Below are 22,132 nucleotides of genomic sequence, written 5' to 3' on the forward strand. Positions count from 1 at the left end.
TGTAAACATAGTTGCTTTCCAATATCTCTCTGTAAGTAAATTATTTGAAAAACAGAAAACAAAATAAAACAAAGCTGAATATCCAAACCAAGATAAAAAAAAAAAAGCAAAAACATACAGCAAAAGAAAAATGGACTGCAAAGAAAAACTTTGCACAAAGAATAAAACGATATATTGTTCTCTATGTGAGGACTGGGTTTCTACTAACTCAATGGCAGGATCACCTGAATTGTGTGGGGAACTAGACCTCAGAAGGCCTGGCTGGTTTTACAGCACACCTGAAGAGGTAAGGTGCTCAGTATGTCAGAATTATTGTGTGTAAAATATAGTAGCACAGAAACTGCAAAACTCTCTGAATTCAAGTTCAACCTTGTGATACCTTGTAGTAACCCAGGAGATTTTTCCTGACATTTTGCTGAACCCAACATAGAGCCTTTGCATGATCTAAGTATTATAATACAAACAGAAGTAAACATAAATGTTAACTATAAATATAAATATATTAGAAATAAATTATATATATACATTACTAAGAATTAGTAATATAAAATAGAACTCTGTTGGTAACTGAAACAAATTTTTTCTATTTAATCTGTTGTTTAGAGTCAGTAATTTTTATTGTGGGTGGGGAAACATTAGGTAACATTTCTTGCACATGCAAAATGTGAAGTTGCAATTATCCTTGTCATTTAAGGATTAGGAGGGTACCATAGATTCTCTGAACAACAAGAATTATAAGTACTTTTAAAATTTAATTGAAATAAATCCCTGGACTCACTTTAATCAATAGTAACAAAACTGACTTTTCTAGAATTAATAGTGCTTTTCTAAATGGCCAAAATCAGATTATTCTTTCACTAAACAGTTTTCATATTTGGTCCCAGAATACTTGGTCAGTAAACAGCACAGCCTGTCTCAGGAAGTATAGAGTTACATCTTATCACATGTTGGCTCTGCAAACACTGAGGAATCTAACAATGGCCTTCTCTGAGGCAGAACTTGCTAAGTGAGGTTAGCTCCCCTTAGGAACTACAGCTATTATCAGTGTCCTCTCCTACAGTACAAGGTCTTGATTATTCATAACAATATTAGTGTTCTCATGCATCTGATTTTAAAAAGCTGGAAAAGAAAGGAGAAAGAGAGAAGCAGCTCATTGTTGATGGTTACACTGTAGGTTTTTTTTTAACTACTGCAAAATGGTTTTTCTTAAATATTAAATACAGATCATATTGTCAGTTAACCGAGACAATTTGACTTTCTCTTTTTATGATTTGGATGTCTTTAATTTCTTTTTCTTGCCTGATTGCTCTGGCAAGGACTCGTAGTATGATGTTGAATTGGAGTGAGGACCTGGGCATCCTCCTCTTGTTCCAGCTTTTAGGGGGCATGTTTTCAGCCTTTTCTGATTCAGTATGATGTTACCTGTGATTTTGTCCTATATAGCTTTTATTATTTTGAAATATATTCGTTCAATTCTTAGTTTCTTGAGGATTTCTATCATGAAGGGACGCTGAAGTTTATCAAATGCTTTCTCTGGATCTATTAAAAAGATTATATATTTTTTCTTGTTTTGAATTTATGTGATGAATCACATTTATTGATTTGTAAATGTTGAGCTATCCTTGCATCCTTGGACCAAAACTCATTTGATTGTGATGTATTATCTTTTGGATATGGTGTTGAATTTGGCTTACTAGTATTTTGTGAGGATTTGTGTTCATCAGAAATATTGGCCTATAGTTTTCTTTTTTGTCATGCCCTTGCCCAGCTTTATATGCACCCAACACTAGAGCACTCACACTCAGACCCATAAAACAAATACCACTAAGAAAAGAGACAACAATACAACAATACAATAATAATTGGTACTTCAATACCTCATTGACAACACTAGACAGATACCAAGGTAGAACATCAACAAAGAAACTCTGGACTTAAACAAGACTGTAGACCAAATGGATCAAATACACATTTACAGAACATTCTACCCCCAAACAACAGAATATTGATTTTGCTTATCTGTGCATGGAACATTCTCCAAAATAGACCATATACTTAGCCATAAAGCAAGTCTACATAAATTCCCAAGTATCAAAATCCTGTCAAGTATCTTCTCAGACCACTTCTCAGTGGAAAAAAACTGGAAATCAATACCAAGAGGAACTTTCTAAATTATTAACTGACAGGAAAATTAAACAACCTGTTCCTGAATGATGCTTGGTAAACAATGATGTTAAGGCAAAAATCAAATATTTTTTTGAAATGAAAGAAAATAGAGACAAAATATACCAAGACTTCCGAGATACAGTGAAAATGGTACTGAAAATAGTTCATACTGTTAAATGCCTAAATCAAAAAGATAGATTTCAAATTAACAACCTAATACTGTATCTCGAGGAACTAGAAAAACAAAAACAGACCAAACTCAAAGCTGGCAGAAGAAAAGAAATAAAAAAGATTGGAGCAGAGCTAATGAAATTGAGACTGAAAAAATCAATAAAAGCATCAATGAAATGAGAATTTGGTTCTTGGGAAGAGAGACAAAACTGATAGATTGCTAACCAAAACAAAAGAGAAGATTCAGATAAGTACAATCAGAAAAGACGACATATGAAAAAATGCTTAACATCACTAATGACCAGAGAAATGCAAAATAACCTACAGTGAGAACCATTTTATACCAGTAAGAATGGCTATTAATAAAACATCAAATTTGGGTAACAGGTACACTAGAAGACCAACCCCCAACAGTATGCAATGTACCCACGTAACAAACATGCACACATCTCCTCTGAGTTTAAAATAATTTTCTAAGTCAAAATATTAACTGATGTTGTCAAGATTGTGAAGAAAAGGGAATGTCTATACATTGTTGGTGGGATTGTAGAATAATTCGATCTCTATAGAAAAAAAATATGGAGATTTCTCAAAGAACTAAAAACAGAACTACCATTTGATCCAGAAACCTCACTACTGGGTATCTACACAAAAGAAAGAAAATCATTATATCAGGAAGATATTTTCACTTGTATGTTTATCACAGAACTATTCACAGTAGCAAATGTATGGAATCAACCTAAATATTGCTTGATATGGTTTGGCTGTGTCCCCACCAAAATCTCATCTTGAATTGTAGCTCCCGTAAGTCCCTCTTGTTGTGGGAGAAACCCAGTAGGAGACAATTAAATCAGAGGGGCGGTTTCCCACATACTGTTCTCATTGTAGTGAAAAGGTCTCACGAGAGCTGATGGCTTTATAAGGGGAAGCCCCTTTCGCTTGGCTCTCATTGTTTCTCTTGCCTGCTGCAATGTGAGATGTGCCTTTCACTTTCTGCCATGATTGTAAGGCCCATCAGCCACATGGAACTGTGAGTCCATTAAACCTCCTTTTCTGTAAATTGCCTAGTCTTGTGTATGTCTTTATCAGCAGCATGAAAACAGACTAATACAGTAAATTGGTATCAGTAGAGTGGGGCGCTATTAAAAAGATTCCCAAAAATGTGGAAGCAACTTTGAAACTCAGTAACAGGCAAAAGCTGGAAGAGTTTGGAGGGCCCAGAAGAACACAAGAAAATGTGGGAAAGTTTGGAACTCCCTAGAGACTTGTTAAATGGCTTTGACCAAAATGCTGATAATGATACACACAATGAAATCCAGGCTGAGGTGGTCTCAGATGTAGATGAGGAACTTATTGGGAACTTCTCTTGTTATGTTTTAGCAAAGAGACTGGCAGCATTTTGCCCCTACCCTAAGGACTTGTGAAACTTTGAAATGGAAATAGATGGTTTAGAGTATCTAGCAGAAGAAATATCTAAGCAGCAAAGCAAAGCATTAAACAGGTGACTTGGGTGCTGTTAAAGGCACTCAGTTTTAAAAGGGAAACAGAGCATAAGAGTTTGGAAAATTTGCAGCCTGACAATGTGACAGAAAAGAAAATCCCATGTTCTGAGGAGAAATTCAAGCCAGCTGCAGAAATTTTCATAAGTAACAAAGAGCCAAATGTTAATTCCCAAAACAATGGGGAAAATGTATCAAGGCATGTCAGAGGTCTTCATGGCAGTCCCTCCTATCACAGGCCCAGAGGCCTAGGAGGAAAATTGGTTTCATGGACTGGGCCCAGGGTCCCCATGCTGTACGCAGCCTAGGAACCTGGTGCCCTGAATGCCAACTGCTCCAGCTGTGGCTGAAAGAAGCCAAGGTACAGCTCAGGCTGCGACTTCAGACGGTGCAGGCCCAAAGCCTTGGCAGCTTTCACATGATGTTGAGTCTTTGAGTTCCCACAAGCCAATAACTGGGGTTTGGGAGCCTCCACTTAGATTTCAGAAGAGGTATCGAAATGCCTGGATGTCCAAGAAGAAGTTTGCTGCAGGGGCAGGGCCCTCATGGAGAACCTCTGCTAGGGCAGTGTGGAAGGGAAATGTGAGTTGGAGCTCCCACACAGAGTGCCCACTGGGGCACTGCCTGTAGAGCTATGAGAAGACAGCCACCCTCCTCCAGACCCCAGAATGATAGATCCATTGACAGCTTGCACCACGCACTTGGAAAAGCTGCAGACACTCAATGCTAGCCTGTGAAAGCAGCTGGGAGGGAGGATTTACCCTGCAAAGCAACAGGGGCATAGCTACACATAACCTTGGGAAGCACCTCTTTCATCAGCATGGCCTGGATGTGAGACATGGAGTCAAAGGAGATCATTTGGAGCTTTAATATTTGACTGCTCACTGACTTTTGGACTTGCATGGAGCATGTAGCCCCTTTGTTTTGGCCAATTTTTCCCATTTGGAATTGCTGTATTAACCCAGAGCCTGTACCCCCATTGTATCCAGAAAATAACAAACTTGCTTTTGATTCTTCAGACTCATAGCAGAAACGACTTGTCTTGTCTCAGATGAGATGTTGGACATGGGGCCAGGAATGGAATGATACGGTTTGGCTGTGTCCCTATCCAAATCTCATCTTGAGTTATATCTCCCATAATTCCCTCATGTTGTGAGAGGGACCAGTAGGAGATAATTGAATCATGGATGTGGTTTCCCCATACTGTTCTTATGGTAGTGAAAAGGTCTCACAAGATCTGATGGATTTTTAAGGAGAAACCCCTTTCGCTTGGCCTTCATTCTCTCTCTTGCCTGCTTTGATGTGGGATGTGCTTTTCACCTTCCATCATAATTGTGATGTTTCCCCAGCCACTTAGAACTGTGAGTTTATTAAACCTCTTTTGTAAATTGCCCGGTCTTGGGTATGTCTTTCTTGGCAGTGTGAAAATGGACTAATACATTTTTAAATGGATAATTGGATAAATAAAATGTTATATATGTATATACACACATACACACATGGAAAACTACTCAGCCAAAATATACACATACACTACTCAGCCAAAACATACACATACACACATATGGAATGCTACTCAGCCAAAAAAAATGAAATAATGTATTTTGCAGAAAGATGGATAGAACTAGTGGCCATTAAGTGAAATAACTCAGAAACAGGAAATCAAATACTACATGTTCTCACTTATAAGTTGGAGCTAAATAAGGTGTACACATGGACATAGAGAGTAGACTCATAGATATTGGAGACTTGGAAGGGTGGGAGGAAGGTGAGGGATGAGAAATAACTTAGTGGGTATAATGTGCACTATTTGGATAGTGGTTACATTAAAAGCCCAAACTTATCTACTACATAACAAATCCATGTATCAAAATTGCAATTGTATCCCCACATTTATACAATTAAAAATATTAAATAAAGCATACATTAAATATACCTAATATCATTTCATTTTCATTTTCCTTAATATTAAATATGTAAAGATATTTGTTTACCTTTCCTCCCCAGTGTGAACAGAGATAAAGAGCCTGAACAACTCATGGAATGTAACAGTTCGTTTTGTGTAAAAGGTTCAAATATCTATCTATACAGTAATATTTGACCTTTTGACATCCAGAAAGTCTGGTTAAGACAGATATTTTACTCTCTTTCTTTTGTGGCTCACTCCAGAGTTTTCTCAGGAACCAATTTTGAGAAGGGCATCGAGTTCAGGTTCATGGCTGTCCCTCAGGCTCCCAAAGCCAAAGAGCTTTATTGTTTTATTGATGTTGGCAGAAGGGGAGCCAGCAGTATGTAATGATTCACCTCCAAATCCTTATAAAAAAGGCTAACTCTTTTCACAATTTTTAAATCAGGAAAAAGAAAATCCAGGAATCATTCTGTAAAAATTATTTTTCAATTGAAATTTATTTTACAATGCATGTAATCTTCAATAAAAACTACACTATTTTCCCAGTATACATTTATATGTCAATGCAGATATTTAATTCTATTTTAATTTTAATATTGGCTTTAAAATGATTGCTAAATTAACACTTCATTTTATCTTTTTTAACCTTTAGAATGCTATAAACATATTTTAACTTTTATGAAATTTTTTTTTCAAGTATACATTGAACACTGCTGTATGTTCTAGGCACTTTTTATGCAGTGGAAATAATCGCAAGGGTGGCCAAAAAAATCTTTTTAATCTAGTGTAAAATAAAAAGTGGGAAGTAGAAAAATAATGTTTTAAAAATTAAACTAGTAATCAGAAGTTGGTCTGTTTAAAACACTTTTCAATTGTTACTCTGTATCTTCTACATGCAATATAAATCTTTACAAATATTAACCAATTTAATATTCACAACAGCCATGTGAAGTAACTACTGTAACAGATAAAAAAATTGAGGTACAGATGGGTTAACTATATTACATGAAGTCATAAACATAGTAAGTGGCAGAATTAGGATTCAAAATGTTACATGAATAGTATGAGCAGGTGACCATGGTAGATGAAGAGAAAGAATGCCTAGCTGCCCTGGGAGATCACTAAAGGCCTCAATGTAAAAGTATTACTGGGTCCTAAAAAATATTTGGGAGATAGTAGCACATATTTAAATCAGACAGCCCTGAATAATATAAATGTGAGCCGGATCATTTACATACCTGTGAAGCCCTGGTCAACTTACTTTACAACTTTAAGCTTTTGTTCCCTTCTTACTAAAAATGGGCTAGGAATATTACTTATTTCATAAGGTTTTGTGAGAATTAAACTAAGTACTATACAGCATGATCTCAGGCCTAGGATTAGGCCCAATAACTTAAAAAATAATTATTATAAATGAAGAGAAAGAGCTAGGTAAGTGAAAAAAGGTGAAATTGAAAACATTCCAGACATATGTTGATTACCTGGTAAGGAGTGGGTGAAAAGGGTTAGAAAGATGAGGGGAAGGACAATGAGTGGTAGGAACAACAAGTCTGTGACTCATCTCTGAATACATTTTTTGTATAACTGGGACCATAAACAAATCATTAAAACTTGCCAGCACATTGAAGAAAACAAAAATATAATTCAGGAATAAAAATTTAACCTAATTGTATTGCAAATCAGTAACATAACCACACTGAAGGGCATGAGGAAGGCAAAATATAAACTAAGTTACTTTCTAAAGATAAAGACAAAACAAAACAAAAAACTCTGTACATAAATATATATTGTAATCTGTGCAATAAAATTTTAAAATAGATACTCAGAGATGAGCCAGAATTTATGAAATTATTACACACTAGCATTAAACAAAGCTATAAATATAGATAATAAAAATAAGAGTTGGCTAAGTATCTGAGAATGAAGTTGAAAATAAGAAATGGAAAAAGCTCAAATGATAGAATTGGAGGTGTCAGTATAAACTGATCATGAAAAATTATATGTTATATGATACAAGATGATTGACTGATTGGTTAAAGATGGATAAATAAATATATGTTGATATTTGTATTATGCATGGATTCATATACATACATAGATTCCCTAGCTCTCTATTGAGAAGGCCAAGACCAAGTATTAATAGTACTCCAGTGGCAATGAGCACAATTAGTATTACAATCTTTTATTCTAAACATCATTCTCCAATAAAAAGAACTAGGGTTTCATGTTAAAATAATGGTTGAATCTAGGGCTAGGGTGAGGAAATTACAAAATATATCTAAAGCATCTTGGGGTGCCAGAATGTAAAAAAGTTATCACAAAAGGACAGGAGCATAACAAAAGAACACAGAAGTCAACCTGTAGTAGATCCTGATGGTCAAATAATTTAAACAATAAAATAATGATAGTTTTAATTATAGCCCATATAATAAAAATTCATGAATCAAATAAATATTGAATTAATAAATAAGAGAGAAGGAATTCTTACCCATAGAAGAATTCTGACTTGAAAATTTAAAAGAAAAGAGGGAAAGAAGAAACCACTCACAGTAAATACCAGTGTAATAATTATTTTATGGAAAAGTTATCTATGGTTGGCAAAATTAGTGGGGGAAAACACATTGCACGCATGTATCAAAATATTGCATGTACCACCAAAATATGCACACCTATGATATATCAACAAAAAAATAGTGAAGGGAATTTGAAAACAAACAGGACATTTGTATAATTTAATTATATGTACCCAAAAATATGTTTAAATTACAATGGGAAAAATAGTATTTAAAGTGAATAAACTTGGCAGATACTAACTTAAGCAAGTAGTCAAGGCTAACATCACCACTTATAAAATAAATTGGCATTGTGAAGTCCCTGAAATCATTCATTGAAAAGAATAATATCATTTTTATATTATTATTTCCAAAATGGCACTGTCTCATTTTAGTAAGAAATAGCATCAATAAAACCCAAATTGATAGGCTTTTCCAAGTAACTGACCAGTACTTCCTAAAGTATCAATGCTGTGAAGGAAAATTAAAGACCTGGCAACTGTTAAGAAAGGAGAAAACTAAGAAAAAAAAAAACAAACCTGTCTCTAATAAAATTGCAAAAATTAGCTGGGCGTAGTGATGTGCACCTGTAGTCCCAGCCACTAGGGAGGTTAGGCAGGGAAGCACTTGAACTCAGGAGGTGGAAGTTGCAATGAGCCGAGATTGTGCCACTGCACGCCAGCCTGGGAGACAGGGCGAGACTCTATCTAATTAAAAAAAAAAAAGAGAGAGAGAGAGAGAAGTATGTGACAATGTTAATTCTCTGGTATTGATCATTTTAGTATGGCTATGTAACATGTTAGCATTAGGGAAAGTTTGGTAAGGGAATATGAAAAATCTTTATTTTTTTGGCAACCATTCCTTTAGTAAGTGTGACAATATATTTAAAAATGTAAATAAAATCCACCCAGGAGATTTTATTATGTAAGCAGTGTGTCGGGTTTTGTTTTTTTGTTTGTTTGTTTGTTTGTTTTTGCTCTGTGTGTCAGAGTACAACAACACAAGTTTGGAGGAGTAGGCAAGAATCTGATCATGAGAACTCCTATAAATTATGCCAAACTATAAAACATAGATTTTAAGTAGGAAAACTAAAGGATCATTTTTACATTTTAGAAAGGATGTGCTTACAAAAAGCAAAGAGGATTCTGGCAGGTTCCATGAGTTGAGGAGATGGAGCTAAGACTACCAGGAGACTTAGGTAGCAAGAGTTCACAGCACAGAGTACCACAAAGGAGAAAACTGCACAGAGATAAAATCCTAGAAATCTACAGAAGTCCCCCTCAAAGAGCAGAATATTGATCCGTACATATATGTGAGAAAACTACCTGAGGCTGGGTAAAGAATTATAAAAAAGGATCAGCGATAACAATGACCAGTGCACACATAGGTCCAGAAACAGTGTGTGCTCTCATTGGTAAGACCAGAAAAACTCATAATTCATGAGGCAGAAGGTTAAAAACTCAGAAAGACCATACCTAATTAATGAGAAATAATTAGCTGCCTGGTTACTTCTCTGCAGCTGCCTAACCAGTCATAACATCAAGATCTGAAAGGAACAAGCTATGTCTAAGTAACTTACTAAATACCAGAAAAAAATACCTAGAACATTTACAAGCAATAAAAAATTCAAAACACAATGACAAAACTTTTGCAATGTCTGGCATAAAATCAAAGATTATCAGGCATTTAAAGAAACAGGGATGTATGGCCCATAATTAAGGAAAATAATCCATTGAAAACATCCCAGACATAACACAGTAGTTAGGATTAGAGGTAAACTACTTTAAGACACTTAATATAACTTTACCCCATATGTTCTAAAGGTAAAGAATTTGAAAATATAAATAATGTCTTGAAGTTAAACTTCACTAACAAATAATCAAGCAGTATCACAATAATAAATAAAAATAGAGATATATAATGAGTTAACATGAAGGAAAACACAATATTATTTGAATGTCAATTCTCATTTTGATCCTAGACTTTTTATTTTTTTTAGACGGAGTCTCTCTCTGGCACCCAGGCTGGAGTGCAGTGTTGCGATCTCAGCTTACTGCCACCTCCACCTCCCAGATTCACGCCATCCTCCTGCCTCAGCCTCCCAAGTAGGTGGGACTACAGGTGCCAACCACCACGCCCGGCTAATTTTTTTGTATTTTTAGTAGAGATGGGGTTTCACCATGTTAGCCAGGATGGTCTTGATCTCCTGACCTCGTGATCCGCCCGGCTTTGCTTCCCAAAGTGCTGGGATTACAGGCATGAGCCACTGCGTCTGACCTGATCTTAGATTTAATATCATTCCAGTCAGGATTCTGGCAGGCTTTTTTTGTATAAATTGACAAGTATATTCTAAAATTCAAATGAAAATTCAACAGGCTTGGAACATGCAAAACAATTCTGAAAAAAAGACCAAAGTTGCAGTATTAGTCTTTCCAAGATGTATCATAAAGCTATAGTAATCAAGACCTGTGAGAGCTTTATAAAGATAAATAAATAGATCAGTAGAATAGAGAGTCAAGCAATAGACTGACACATATAAGGATGACATACTTTTAATACTGGTTCAAGACACAGCATTGGAGAAAGATAGCCTTTTCAACAAATTGTGCTAGAATAATTAAATGTGCATACGCAAAAGTCAAGTTTGATACATACCTTGAACTATAAACAAAAATCATAGACGTATGTAAAACTTCTAGGAAAAAAATATAGAATCTTTGTAAATTTAATGCATTAGTCAGGATTCTCCAGAGAAACAGAATCAGTAGAATTTCTCATAATTAATATCGTGTGTGTGTGTGTGTGTGTGTGTGTGTGTGTGTGTGATTGTGGAGAAATTGGCACATATGATTGTGGAGGCTGAGAATTCCCATGAGATCAGCTAGTTTGAAGCCAAGGAAAGCTTTTAGTATAACTCAGTTCAAGTCCAAAGGGCTGAGAACCATGGAAGCCAATGCCATAAATCCCCAGTTCAAGAGCTGAAGGAAATGAGATGAGATGTTTCAGCTCAAACAGTGAGACAGGAAAAAGTAGGGCAAATTGCTCTTTCCTCTCTGCCTGCTCTATACCAGGCTTTTAATGGATTAGATGATACCTACCCGCATTGAGGAAGGCAACCTACTTTACTACATCCAGCAGTTCAAATCCTAATGTTATCCAGAAACACCTTCACATAGACATAAACACAGAAATAATGTTTAATGTGGGCACCTCGTAGCCAGAAACGTTGCCATGTAAAATTAATCATTGCACATAGATTAGGTAAAGATTCCTTAGATATGCCACCAAAATATTTTCCATAAAAGAATAAATAAAATGTAATTTTTCAGAAATTACAAAATCACTGTTATAAGATTGAAAACGGCCAGACACGGTGGCTCACGCCTAAAATCCCAGCATTTTGGGAGGCCAATGTGGGCGGATCACCAGAGGTCAGGAGTTTGAGACCAGCATGTCCAACATAGTGAAACCCCATCTCTACTGAAAATATAAAAATTAGCCAGGCATGGTGGTGGGTGCCTGTAATCCCAGCTACTCATGAGGCTGAGGCAGGCGAATCACTTGAACATGGGAGGCGGAGGTTGCAGTGAGCCATAATTGTGCTATTGCTCTCCAGCCTGGGCGACAAGAGTGAGACTCTGTCTCAAAAAAAAAAAAAAAAAAAAAAAAAAAAATTGGGCAGTTCCAAGATGGCTGAATAGGAACAGCTCCAGTCTACAGCACCTAGCATGAGCAATGCAGAAGACAGGTGATTTCTGCATTTCCAACTGAGGAACGCAGCTCCTCTCCAGCAACGGAACAAAGCTGGATGGAGAATGACTGACGAGTTGACGGAAGAAGGCTTCAGACGATCAAACTTCTCCGAGCTAAAGGAGGAAGTTTGAACCCAATGCAAAGAAGCTAAAAACCTTGAAAAAAGATTAGATGAATGGCAAACTAGAATAAGCTGTATAGAGGAGTCCTTAAATGACCTGATGGAGCTGAAAACCATGGCACGAGAACTATGTGACGAATGCACAAGCTTCAGTAGCCAATTCAATCAACGGGAAAAAAGGATATCAGTGATTGAAGATCAAATGAATGAAATGAAGCGAGAAGAGAAGTTTAGAGAAAAAAGAGTAAAAAGAAACAAACAAAGCCTCCAAGAAATATGGGACTATGTTAAAAGACAAAATCTATATCTGATTGGTATACCTGAAAGTGATGGGGAGAATGGAACCAAGTTGGAAAACATTCTGCAGGATATTATCCAGGAGAATTTCCCCAACCTAGCAAGGTAGGCCAACACTCAAATTCAGGAAATACAGAGAACACCTCAAAGACACTCCTCGAAAAGAGCAACTCCAGGACACATAATTGTCAGATTCACCAAAGCTGAAATGAAGGAAAAAATGTTAAGGGCACCAGAGAGAAAGGTCGGGTTATCCGCAAAGGGAAACCCATCAGACTAAGAGCAGATCTCTCGGCAGAAACTCTACAAGCCAAAAGAGAGTGGGGGCCAGTATTCAACATTATTAAAGAAAAGAATTTTCAACCCAGAATTTCATATCCCGCCAAACTAAGCTTCATAAGTAAAGGAGAAAAAAAATCCTTTACACACAAGCAAATGCTGAGAGATTTTGTCACCACCAGGCCTGCCCTACAGGAGCTCCTGAAGGAAGCACTAAACATGGAAAGGAACAACCGGTACCAGCCACTGCAAAAGCATTCCGAATTGTAAAGACCATCAATGCTAGGAAGAAACTGCATCAACTGATGAGCAAAATAACCAGCTAACATCAAAACGACAGGATCAAATTCACACATAACAATATTAACTTTAAATGTAAATGGGCTAAATGCTCCAATTAAAAGACACAGACTGGCAAATTTGATAAAGAGTCAAGACCCAACAGTGTGCTGTATTCAGGTGACCCATCTCATGTGCAGAGACATACATAGGCTCAAAATAAAGGGATGGAGGAAGATCTACCAAGCAAAAGGAAAACAAAAAAAAGGCAGGGGTTGCAATCCTAGTCTCTGATAAAACAGACTTTAAACCAACAAAAATCAAAAGAGACAAAGAAGGCCATTAGGTAATGGTAAAGGTATCAATTCAACAAGAAGAGCTAACTATCTTAAATATATATGCACCCAATACAGGAGCACCCAGATTCATAAAGCAAGTCCTTAGAGATCTACAAAGGGACTTAGACTCCCACACAATAATAATGGGAGACTTTAACACCCCACTGCCAACATTAGACAGATCAATGAGACAGAAAGGTAACAAGGATACCCAGGAATTGAACTCAGCTCTGCAACAAGTGGGCCTAATAGACATCAACAGAACTGTCCACCCAAAATCAACAGAATATCCATTCTTCTCAGCACCACATCACACTTATTCCAAAACTGACCAAATAGTTGGAAGTAAAGCACTCCTCAGCAAATGTAAAAGAACAGAAATTATAACAAACTGTCTCTCAGACCACAGTGCAATCAAACTAGAACTCGGGATTAAGAAACTCACTCAAAACCACTCAACTACATGGAAACTGAACAACCTGCTCCTGAATGACTACTGGGTACATAATGAAATGAAGGCAGAAATAAAGATGTTCTTTGAAACAAATGAAAACAAAGACACAACATACCAGAATCTAGGGGACACATTTAAAGCAGTGTGTAGAGGGAAATTTATAGCACTAAATGCCCACAAGAGAAAGCAGGAAAGATCTAAAATTGACACCCTAACATCACAATTAGAAGAACTAGAGAAGCAAGAGCAAACACATTCAAAAGCTAGCAGAAGGCAAGAAATAACTAAGATCAGAGCAGTACTGAAGGAGATAGAGACACAAAAAACCCTTCAAAAAAATCAGTGAATCCAGGAGCTGGTTTTTTGTACAGATCAACAACATTGATAGACCACAAGCAAGATTAATAAAGAAGAAAAGAGAGAAGAATCAAATAGACACAATAAAAAATGATAAAGGTGATATCACCACCGATCCCACAGAAATACAAACTACCATCAGAGAATACTATAACCACCTCTATGTAAATAAACTAGAAAATCTAGAAGAAATGGACAAATTCCTGGACACCTACACTCTCCCAAAACTAAACCAGGAAGAAGTTGAATCCCTGAATAGACCAATAACAGGCTCTTAAATTGAAGCAATAATTAATAGCCTACCAACCAAAAAAGTCCAGGACCAGATGGATTCACAGCCGAATTCTACCAGAGGTACAAGGAGGAGCTGGTACTATTCCTTCTGAAACTATTCCAATCAATAGAAAAAGAGGGAATCCTCCCTAACTCATTTTATGAGGCCAGCATCATCCTGATACCAAAGCCTGGCAGAGACACAACAAAAAAGGACAATTTTAGACCAATATTCCTGATGAAAATTGATGCAAAAATCCTCAATAAAATACTGGCAAACCGAATCCAGCAGCACATCAAAAAGCGTATCCACCACGATCAACTCGGCTTCATCCCTGGGATGCAAGGCTGGTTCAACATACGCAAATCAATAAATGTAATCCAGCATATAAACAGAACCAAAGTCAAAAACCACATGATTATCTCAATAGATGTAGAAAAGGCCTTTGACAACATTCAACACCCTTCACGCTAAAAACTCTCAATAAATTAGGTATTGATGGGACGTATCTCAAAATAAGAGCTATTTATGACAAAACCACAGCCAATATCATACTGAATGGGCAAAAACTGGAAGCATTCCCTTTGAAAACTGTCGCAAGACAGGGATGCCCTCTCTCACCACTCCTATTCAACATAGTGTTGGAAGTTCTGGCCAGGGCAATCAAGCAGGAGAAAGAAATAAAGTGTATTCAATTAGGAAAAGAGGAAGTCAAATTGTCCCTCTTTGCAGATGGCATGATTGCATATTTAGAAAACCCCATCGTGTCAGCCCAAAATCTACTTAAGCTGATAAGCAATTTCAGCAAAGTCTCAGGATAAAAAATTAATGTGCAAAAATCACAAGCATTCATATACACCAATAACAGACAAACAGAGAGCCAAATCATGAGTGAACTCCCATTCACAATTGCTTCAAAGAGAATAAAATACCTAGGAATCCAACTTACAAGGAACGTGAAGGACCTCTTCGAGGAGAACTACAAACCACTGCTCAATGAAATAAAAGAGGATACAAACAAATGGAAGAACATTCCATGCTCATGGATAGGAAGAATCAATATCATGAAAACGGCCATACTGCCCAAGGTAATTTATAGATTCAATGCCATCCCCATCAAGCTACCAATGACTTTCTTCACAGAATTGGAAAAAACTACTTTAAAGTTCACATGGAACCAAAAAAGAGCCCGCATTGCCAAGACAATCCTAAGCCAAAAGAACATAGCTGGAGGCATCATGCTACCTGACTTCAAACTATACTACAAGGCTACAGTAACCAAAACAGCACAGTACTGGTACCAAAACAGAGATATAGACCAATGGAACAGAAGAGAGCCCTCAGACATAGTACCACACATCTACAACTATCTGATATTTGACAAACCTGACAAAAACAAGAAATTGGGGAAAGGATTCCCTATTTAACAAATGGTGCTGGGAAAACTGGCTGGCCATATGGAGAAAGCTGAAACTGGATCCTTTCCTTACACCTTATACAAAAAATTAATTCAAGATGGATTAAAGACTTAAATGTTACACGTAAAACCATAAAAACCCTAGAAGAAAACCTAGGCAATACCATTCAGGACATAGGCATGGGCAAGAAGTTCGTGTCTAAAACACCAAAAGGAATGGCAACAAAAGCCAAAATTGACAAATGGGATCTAATTAAACTAAAGAGCTTCTACACAGCAAAAGAAACTACCATCACAGTGAACAGACAACCTACAGAATGGGAAAAAAATTTGTAATGTACTCATCTGACAAAGGGCTAATATCCAGAATCTACGATGAACTCAAACAAATTTACAAGAAAAAAACAAACAACCCCATCAACAAGTGGGCGAAGGATATGAACAGACACTTCTCAAAAGAAGACATTTATGCAGCCAACAGACACATGAAAAAATGCTCATCATCACTGGCCATCAGAGAAACGCAAATAAAACCACAATGAGATACCATCTCACACCAGTTAGAATGGCAATCATTAAAAAGTCAGGAAACAACAGGTGCTGGAGAGGATGTGGAGAAATAGGAACACTTTTACACTGTTGGTGGGACTGTAAACTAGTTCAACCATTGTGGAAGACAGTGTGGCGATTCCTCAGGGATCTAGAACTAGAAATACCATTTGACCCAGCCATCCCATTACTGGGTATATACCCAAAGGATTATAAATCATGCTGCTATAAAGGCACATGCACACATATGTTTATTGTGGCACTATTCACAATAGCAAAGACTTAGAACCAACACAAATGTCCATCAATGATAGACTGAATTAAGCAAATGTGGCACATATACACCATGGAATACTATGCAGCCATAAAAAATGATGAGTTCATGTCCTTTGTAGGGACATGGATGAAGCTGGAAACCATCACTCTCAGCAAACTATCACAAGAACAAAAAAACCAAACACCACATGTTCTCACTCATAGGTGGGAATTGAACAAATAGAACACCTGGACACAGGAAAGGGAACATCACACACCGGGGCCTGTCGTGGGGTGGGAGAGGGGGGAGGGAAAGCATTAGGAGGTATACCTCATGTAAATGAGGAGTTAATAGGTGCATCACACCAACATGGCACTTGTATACATATGTAACAAACCTGCACGTTATGCACATGTACCCTAGAACTTATAGTAAAAAAAATTGAAAAGACCCACAAACTAGAATATAGTATTTGCAACCATAAGTTGTATTTAAAAAATCCAGCTTATATAAGGAACTCCAGACTCAATAATAAGAAATCAAACAACCAACATAAAAAGGAAAATATTTGATAGATACTTCAACAAAGAAGATATGACGATGACAGATAAGCACACAAAGATATGCTCAACATCACTAATATAGTTAGGGAAAGGCAAGTTAAAAGTACTTTACTAGAATGATTTATGTGGGAATGTGGAGGAATAGAGGCTCTCATACACTACTGGTTGCAAAGTAAAGTGGTGCAACTACTTTGGAAAACAGATTGGCATTCTCTTAGGTGATTTCCCAGAGAAATAAATGTTCATGTCCATGCAAAGACTTGCACATGAATGTTCATAGAAGATTTATTTTTAATAGGCAAAACTAGATATAACCCAAATGCCAATCTACAGGTGAATGAGTGTGATGATTAATTTTATGTGTCAACTTGACTATCATATCACAAGGTACAAAGAAATTTGGCTAAACATTATTTCTGGGTGTATCTGCATAGACTTTTCCAGATGAAATTAGCATTTGAATTGATAGAGTGAGTAAACAAGAATGCCCTCCTCAGTGTAGACTGGCATTATCCAATCCTTGCAGATCTGAATAGAGCAAAAGCGTTAGAGAAAGAGGAATTTGCTCTCCGAATGATGGCTTGGGCTGGAACTTTGGTCTTCTCCTGCACTCATATTGGTACTTATATTATCAGATCGGCTGATTCTTGGGCCTTGGAAATTTGGGATTTACTTCATTGGCTCCCCTGGTTCTCAGGCCTTTAGACTCATACGGAAACTGTATCACTGGCTTCCCTAGGCCTCCAGCTTGCAGATAGCAGATTATGAAACTAGTCAGTCTTCATAATCAAGAGAGCTTTTATATCTTTATAATAAATTCTATATGTAAATATATATACATATATATGTAGATAGGTAGATAGATGATAGATAGATAGACAGATAGATAGATATAGATAGATATCTCCTATTGATTCTGTTTCTCTGGAGAACCCAGAATAATATATTAGGTAAAAAGATGGTGGCATATCTATACAATGGAATACTAATCAACAATTAAAAAAATTACCTAGAGAGATATCGAACAAAAGGCTGAATATTAAAATATGTAGAGTGATAAATTCAGTCAAAAGAGTAAATAACGTATTATTTGATATATACTCATTTCTATAAAACTAAAACTAATCAATAGTGACAGGAAACAATTGAATGCTTCCTTAAATCTTAAAGATTTAATCCAGATGTGACAAACATGACTTCTCAAATTTTATAACCAAAGCAAGTTATATAATACATCTAACATGAAGAGGCAGAGGATCATAAAGAGTGCTCAGAAGTGGAGAGAATAAAAAATACTTACAACAACATTATCAGCTAGTGAATGTCAAGGAAAGTTGCATGTTTAATTGAACTCATTTATACAGAATAGAAAATCTTTTACTGTGGGAGAAAGAATAATATATTACTGCATATTTTTCCTTTAGAACCAATCACCAAAGTTAACTTCCTTAAACTTATTTGCTTTTCTCAATTTTTTCTCTTATTTCAATATGTAATGGATTGTTAAAAGTGTGCATTTTTTTTAAGCAGAAAACACAGATGAACTTAGAATTAATTTTAACTGTGTTACAACATTTGCAAGTTGATGACAACAGGGAATATTCCAGTTAGTGAATACTGATTTAACTTCTATTTAGAAGTTGCCTTCAGATAATATTTAGATTCCTATGCAAAATAAGTTGGGAGCTTCATCAGCAGTATCTAGCAGTCAGAGATGACTATATTTAGAGTTGAGCTAGAGGCAGCTTTATCACAAACTTAACCAACTTCTGACATGTCATTGTCAGTATGCTGAAATCCACATGTGTATATTTTCTGATTTTAGGCAGAAGTGAATATTACATTCAGAGAGGAGATCTTTTTACTGCTTTATCATTGCATAATGTCCTGGATATATTTGATACTGCTCACAGCTCCAATACACCTGTCACTGCACCTCACTGCTAATACAATGACAGCTCAGTGGTCATGTGTTCCAAGCCAATGTCATGCAATACTGTTTTTCGCTACTCATTCTGAGTTACAGTCAGCATTAAAAGCTATGCTCAGACTTATTCTGGATTAGTTTCCTCCAGAGATGCACATCACTAATATGTTTGATTTTAAGAAGTTGTGATGAGTATTATACGGAAGTAGACCTGTGTATAGTATTTTCAGTATTTGAGATTATAACCTGGTCAATGGGGTCTTGAGTACCATCCAGGATCCAAACAGAGGAGATTTAGGCTTCCTAAATGGCTTGATAATGCCCATCTTCTTCATGATTACATTAGTACAGAAATATGTAAGTAAATTATTAATTATTTAGAGCTAAAAGTACCTTAAAATGAAAAAATGACATACAGAGTTATATATTGAACTCATTTAGAAGATATTTTACTCTGGGTTATATGCTTTAGGAATCCAATGGAGTAAGTTTAATCATTCTCATTTTACATTTACAAGAACTGGCCTTAGTAAGTGGCATAACTAGAATTGGAATTCAGGCCCAGACTTTTAGATTTTATGTATCTTATTCATTTTAGAGAGATATTTTATTACAAACACAATCTTATACCTAAATGTTTATACTGAATATGAGAAACCCAGGGCAGAGAAACTAAGTAATTTTATAAAGCTTGTATAGAGATAGCTAACAAAAAAACAAAAGACTCTCTTGAATTCTAAGTAACTCTCATGTCCTGAAATCAAATCAACATCCTGGCTTCTGTATTCTTTTCAGAGTAGCTTTCTAATTAATTCAATACTCTACCCAGTTCCTAACATTAATTGAGCATCTACTATCTGTAAGACTCTTGACCTTACAGTTTATAAAAAGAAAGTCTGTCTATATTGAGCTTACAATTTAGTTGAGGAGGATATTGAGTAATAACTAATTAAATAATATCACTTTTATGGTTGTAGTTGTAGAGAAGAATAAAACTGGGTAGAGGAATAAACTTACTATTTTTAGCAAGGAAGGACCTATGAGGATCCCATTTGAACAGAAATTTAAATAATGAAAACAGTCATGTCATGAGGAAAAATTGAGAACAGGGTAATACCTTCAGCCTACATGTGTTATAAAGTTCATGTTTTTTATATAATATAACTTATAAATAAGTGGTTCTTGAATAAAGTCATCTTTTTTTTACACACAAACGTGCACACACAAATACATAACAATTTCTTACTTATATTTGTGAAGTGGTTTTGTGTATCTCTGCATATTTGTTTTCCTTAACATACTATATATAGAGACCTTTACTGAAATATTTAAATTACAAAAGCTCAAAGATTGTTATTAATGTTAAAGTAGCATTTTAAAAAATCTAAGATTCAAAAACGTGTCAATAATGAGATAAATTATAAATAATTATTTAACTATTTTGATATTTGGAAAATGGGCTTTTATTTTATTATTTATTTTTACTTTTTATTTTTAGACGGAATCTCGCTGTGTCACCCGGGCTGGAGTGCAGTGGCGCGATCTCTGCTCACTGCAACCTCTGCCTCCTGGTTTCAAGCGATTCTTGTGCCTCAGCCTTTCCAGTAACTGGGATTACAGGAATGTGTCACCACACCCAGCTAATTTTTGTATTTTCACTAGAGACGCAGTTTCACCATGTTGGCCGGAATGGTCTCGGCCTCCCAAAGTGCTGGGATTACAGGCGTGAGCCACCACGCCCGGCAGGAACCTGGGCTTTTTCTTACAAAACCTTTACTTAATAAGATTCAATGCCAGATATGTTTTAAATCATCTCATAGAAAGAAATAACACTTTATTAGCTAATGTGTTAGCCTTGAGAAAACAGGTGATCTTATTCCATGATTCACTGATTACTCAATATCTTGCACATAAAATTCTAGAAGTAATTAGTGGCTAAATTAAGAAATTATAATTAATCTAGTATTTACTCTTTGTTTATAAACATGAATGTATAATTTTACAAATAGATATATGGAAAAAATGTAAAATTTATATTTCAGACAAAAATATATAAAAAATTGGGTATCCTAAAATGTTTTATTTACAGATTTTCATTTTTTTCAACACATGCTTTATGGAAAAATAACCACACAATATACACATTCAAATATCTCACAGAAATGCTGTATCTTGTTTGTATATGAAAAAAATGATTTCATAAAATGCTGGTATATTTTGTCCAAATATAAAAATTTCCATTTGGAAAATTCATTTCTCAGCAGTAGGAAAATTCTTGGAAGTTCGAATGTTGTAAGAAGTCAAAACCAAACACGTATCATATTTACATATTAGCTTTTCCAAACGTGAAAATGCTTCTCCAATTTTCTAACAAATCATGTGTATAATAAACAAAGCTTTCTTTATATACAGAACTTATTTTATATTTTCAATTTTTGTCCTCTACTTATGTTTGAAGTTTTTATTTTTGGAATCTAATAAATGTGTCCATTTTCTATGCCATGAAATACAATACAAAGTGCATTTAATAAATAAAAAATATGGCCAGGCGCGGTGGCTCCCGTCTGTAATCGCAGCACTTTGGGAGGCCGAGGCGGGCGGATCAAGAGGTCAGGAGATTGAGACCATCCTGGCTAACAAGGTGAAAACCCGTCTCTACTAAAAATACAAAAAATTAGCCAGGCGTGGTGGCACGCGTCTCTAATCCCAGCTACTCAGGAGACTGAGGTTGTAGTGAGGCGAGATCGTGCCATTGCACTCCAGCCTGGGTGACAGAGTGAGACTCAGTCTCAAAAAAACAAAAAAACAAAATAAATAAATAAATAAAAAAAATAGCTGTATAATTTTTGAAAATCAATAATTGTAACAATATCTAAAATAAGAACTGTTGCTATCATTTTTAATATAATATGCTAAGCATTTTTCTAATGTGTAAATGTATTTAGTTTTTAGAATAACATTATAAAGTTGG

The sequence above is a fragment of the Homo sapiens genome, chromosome 6 (assembly GCF_000001405.40).
Source record: "Homo sapiens chromosome 6, GRCh38.p14 Primary Assembly".
In the NCBI taxonomy this organism is placed as follows: domain Eukaryota; kingdom Metazoa; phylum Chordata; class Mammalia; order Primates; family Hominidae; genus Homo; species Homo sapiens.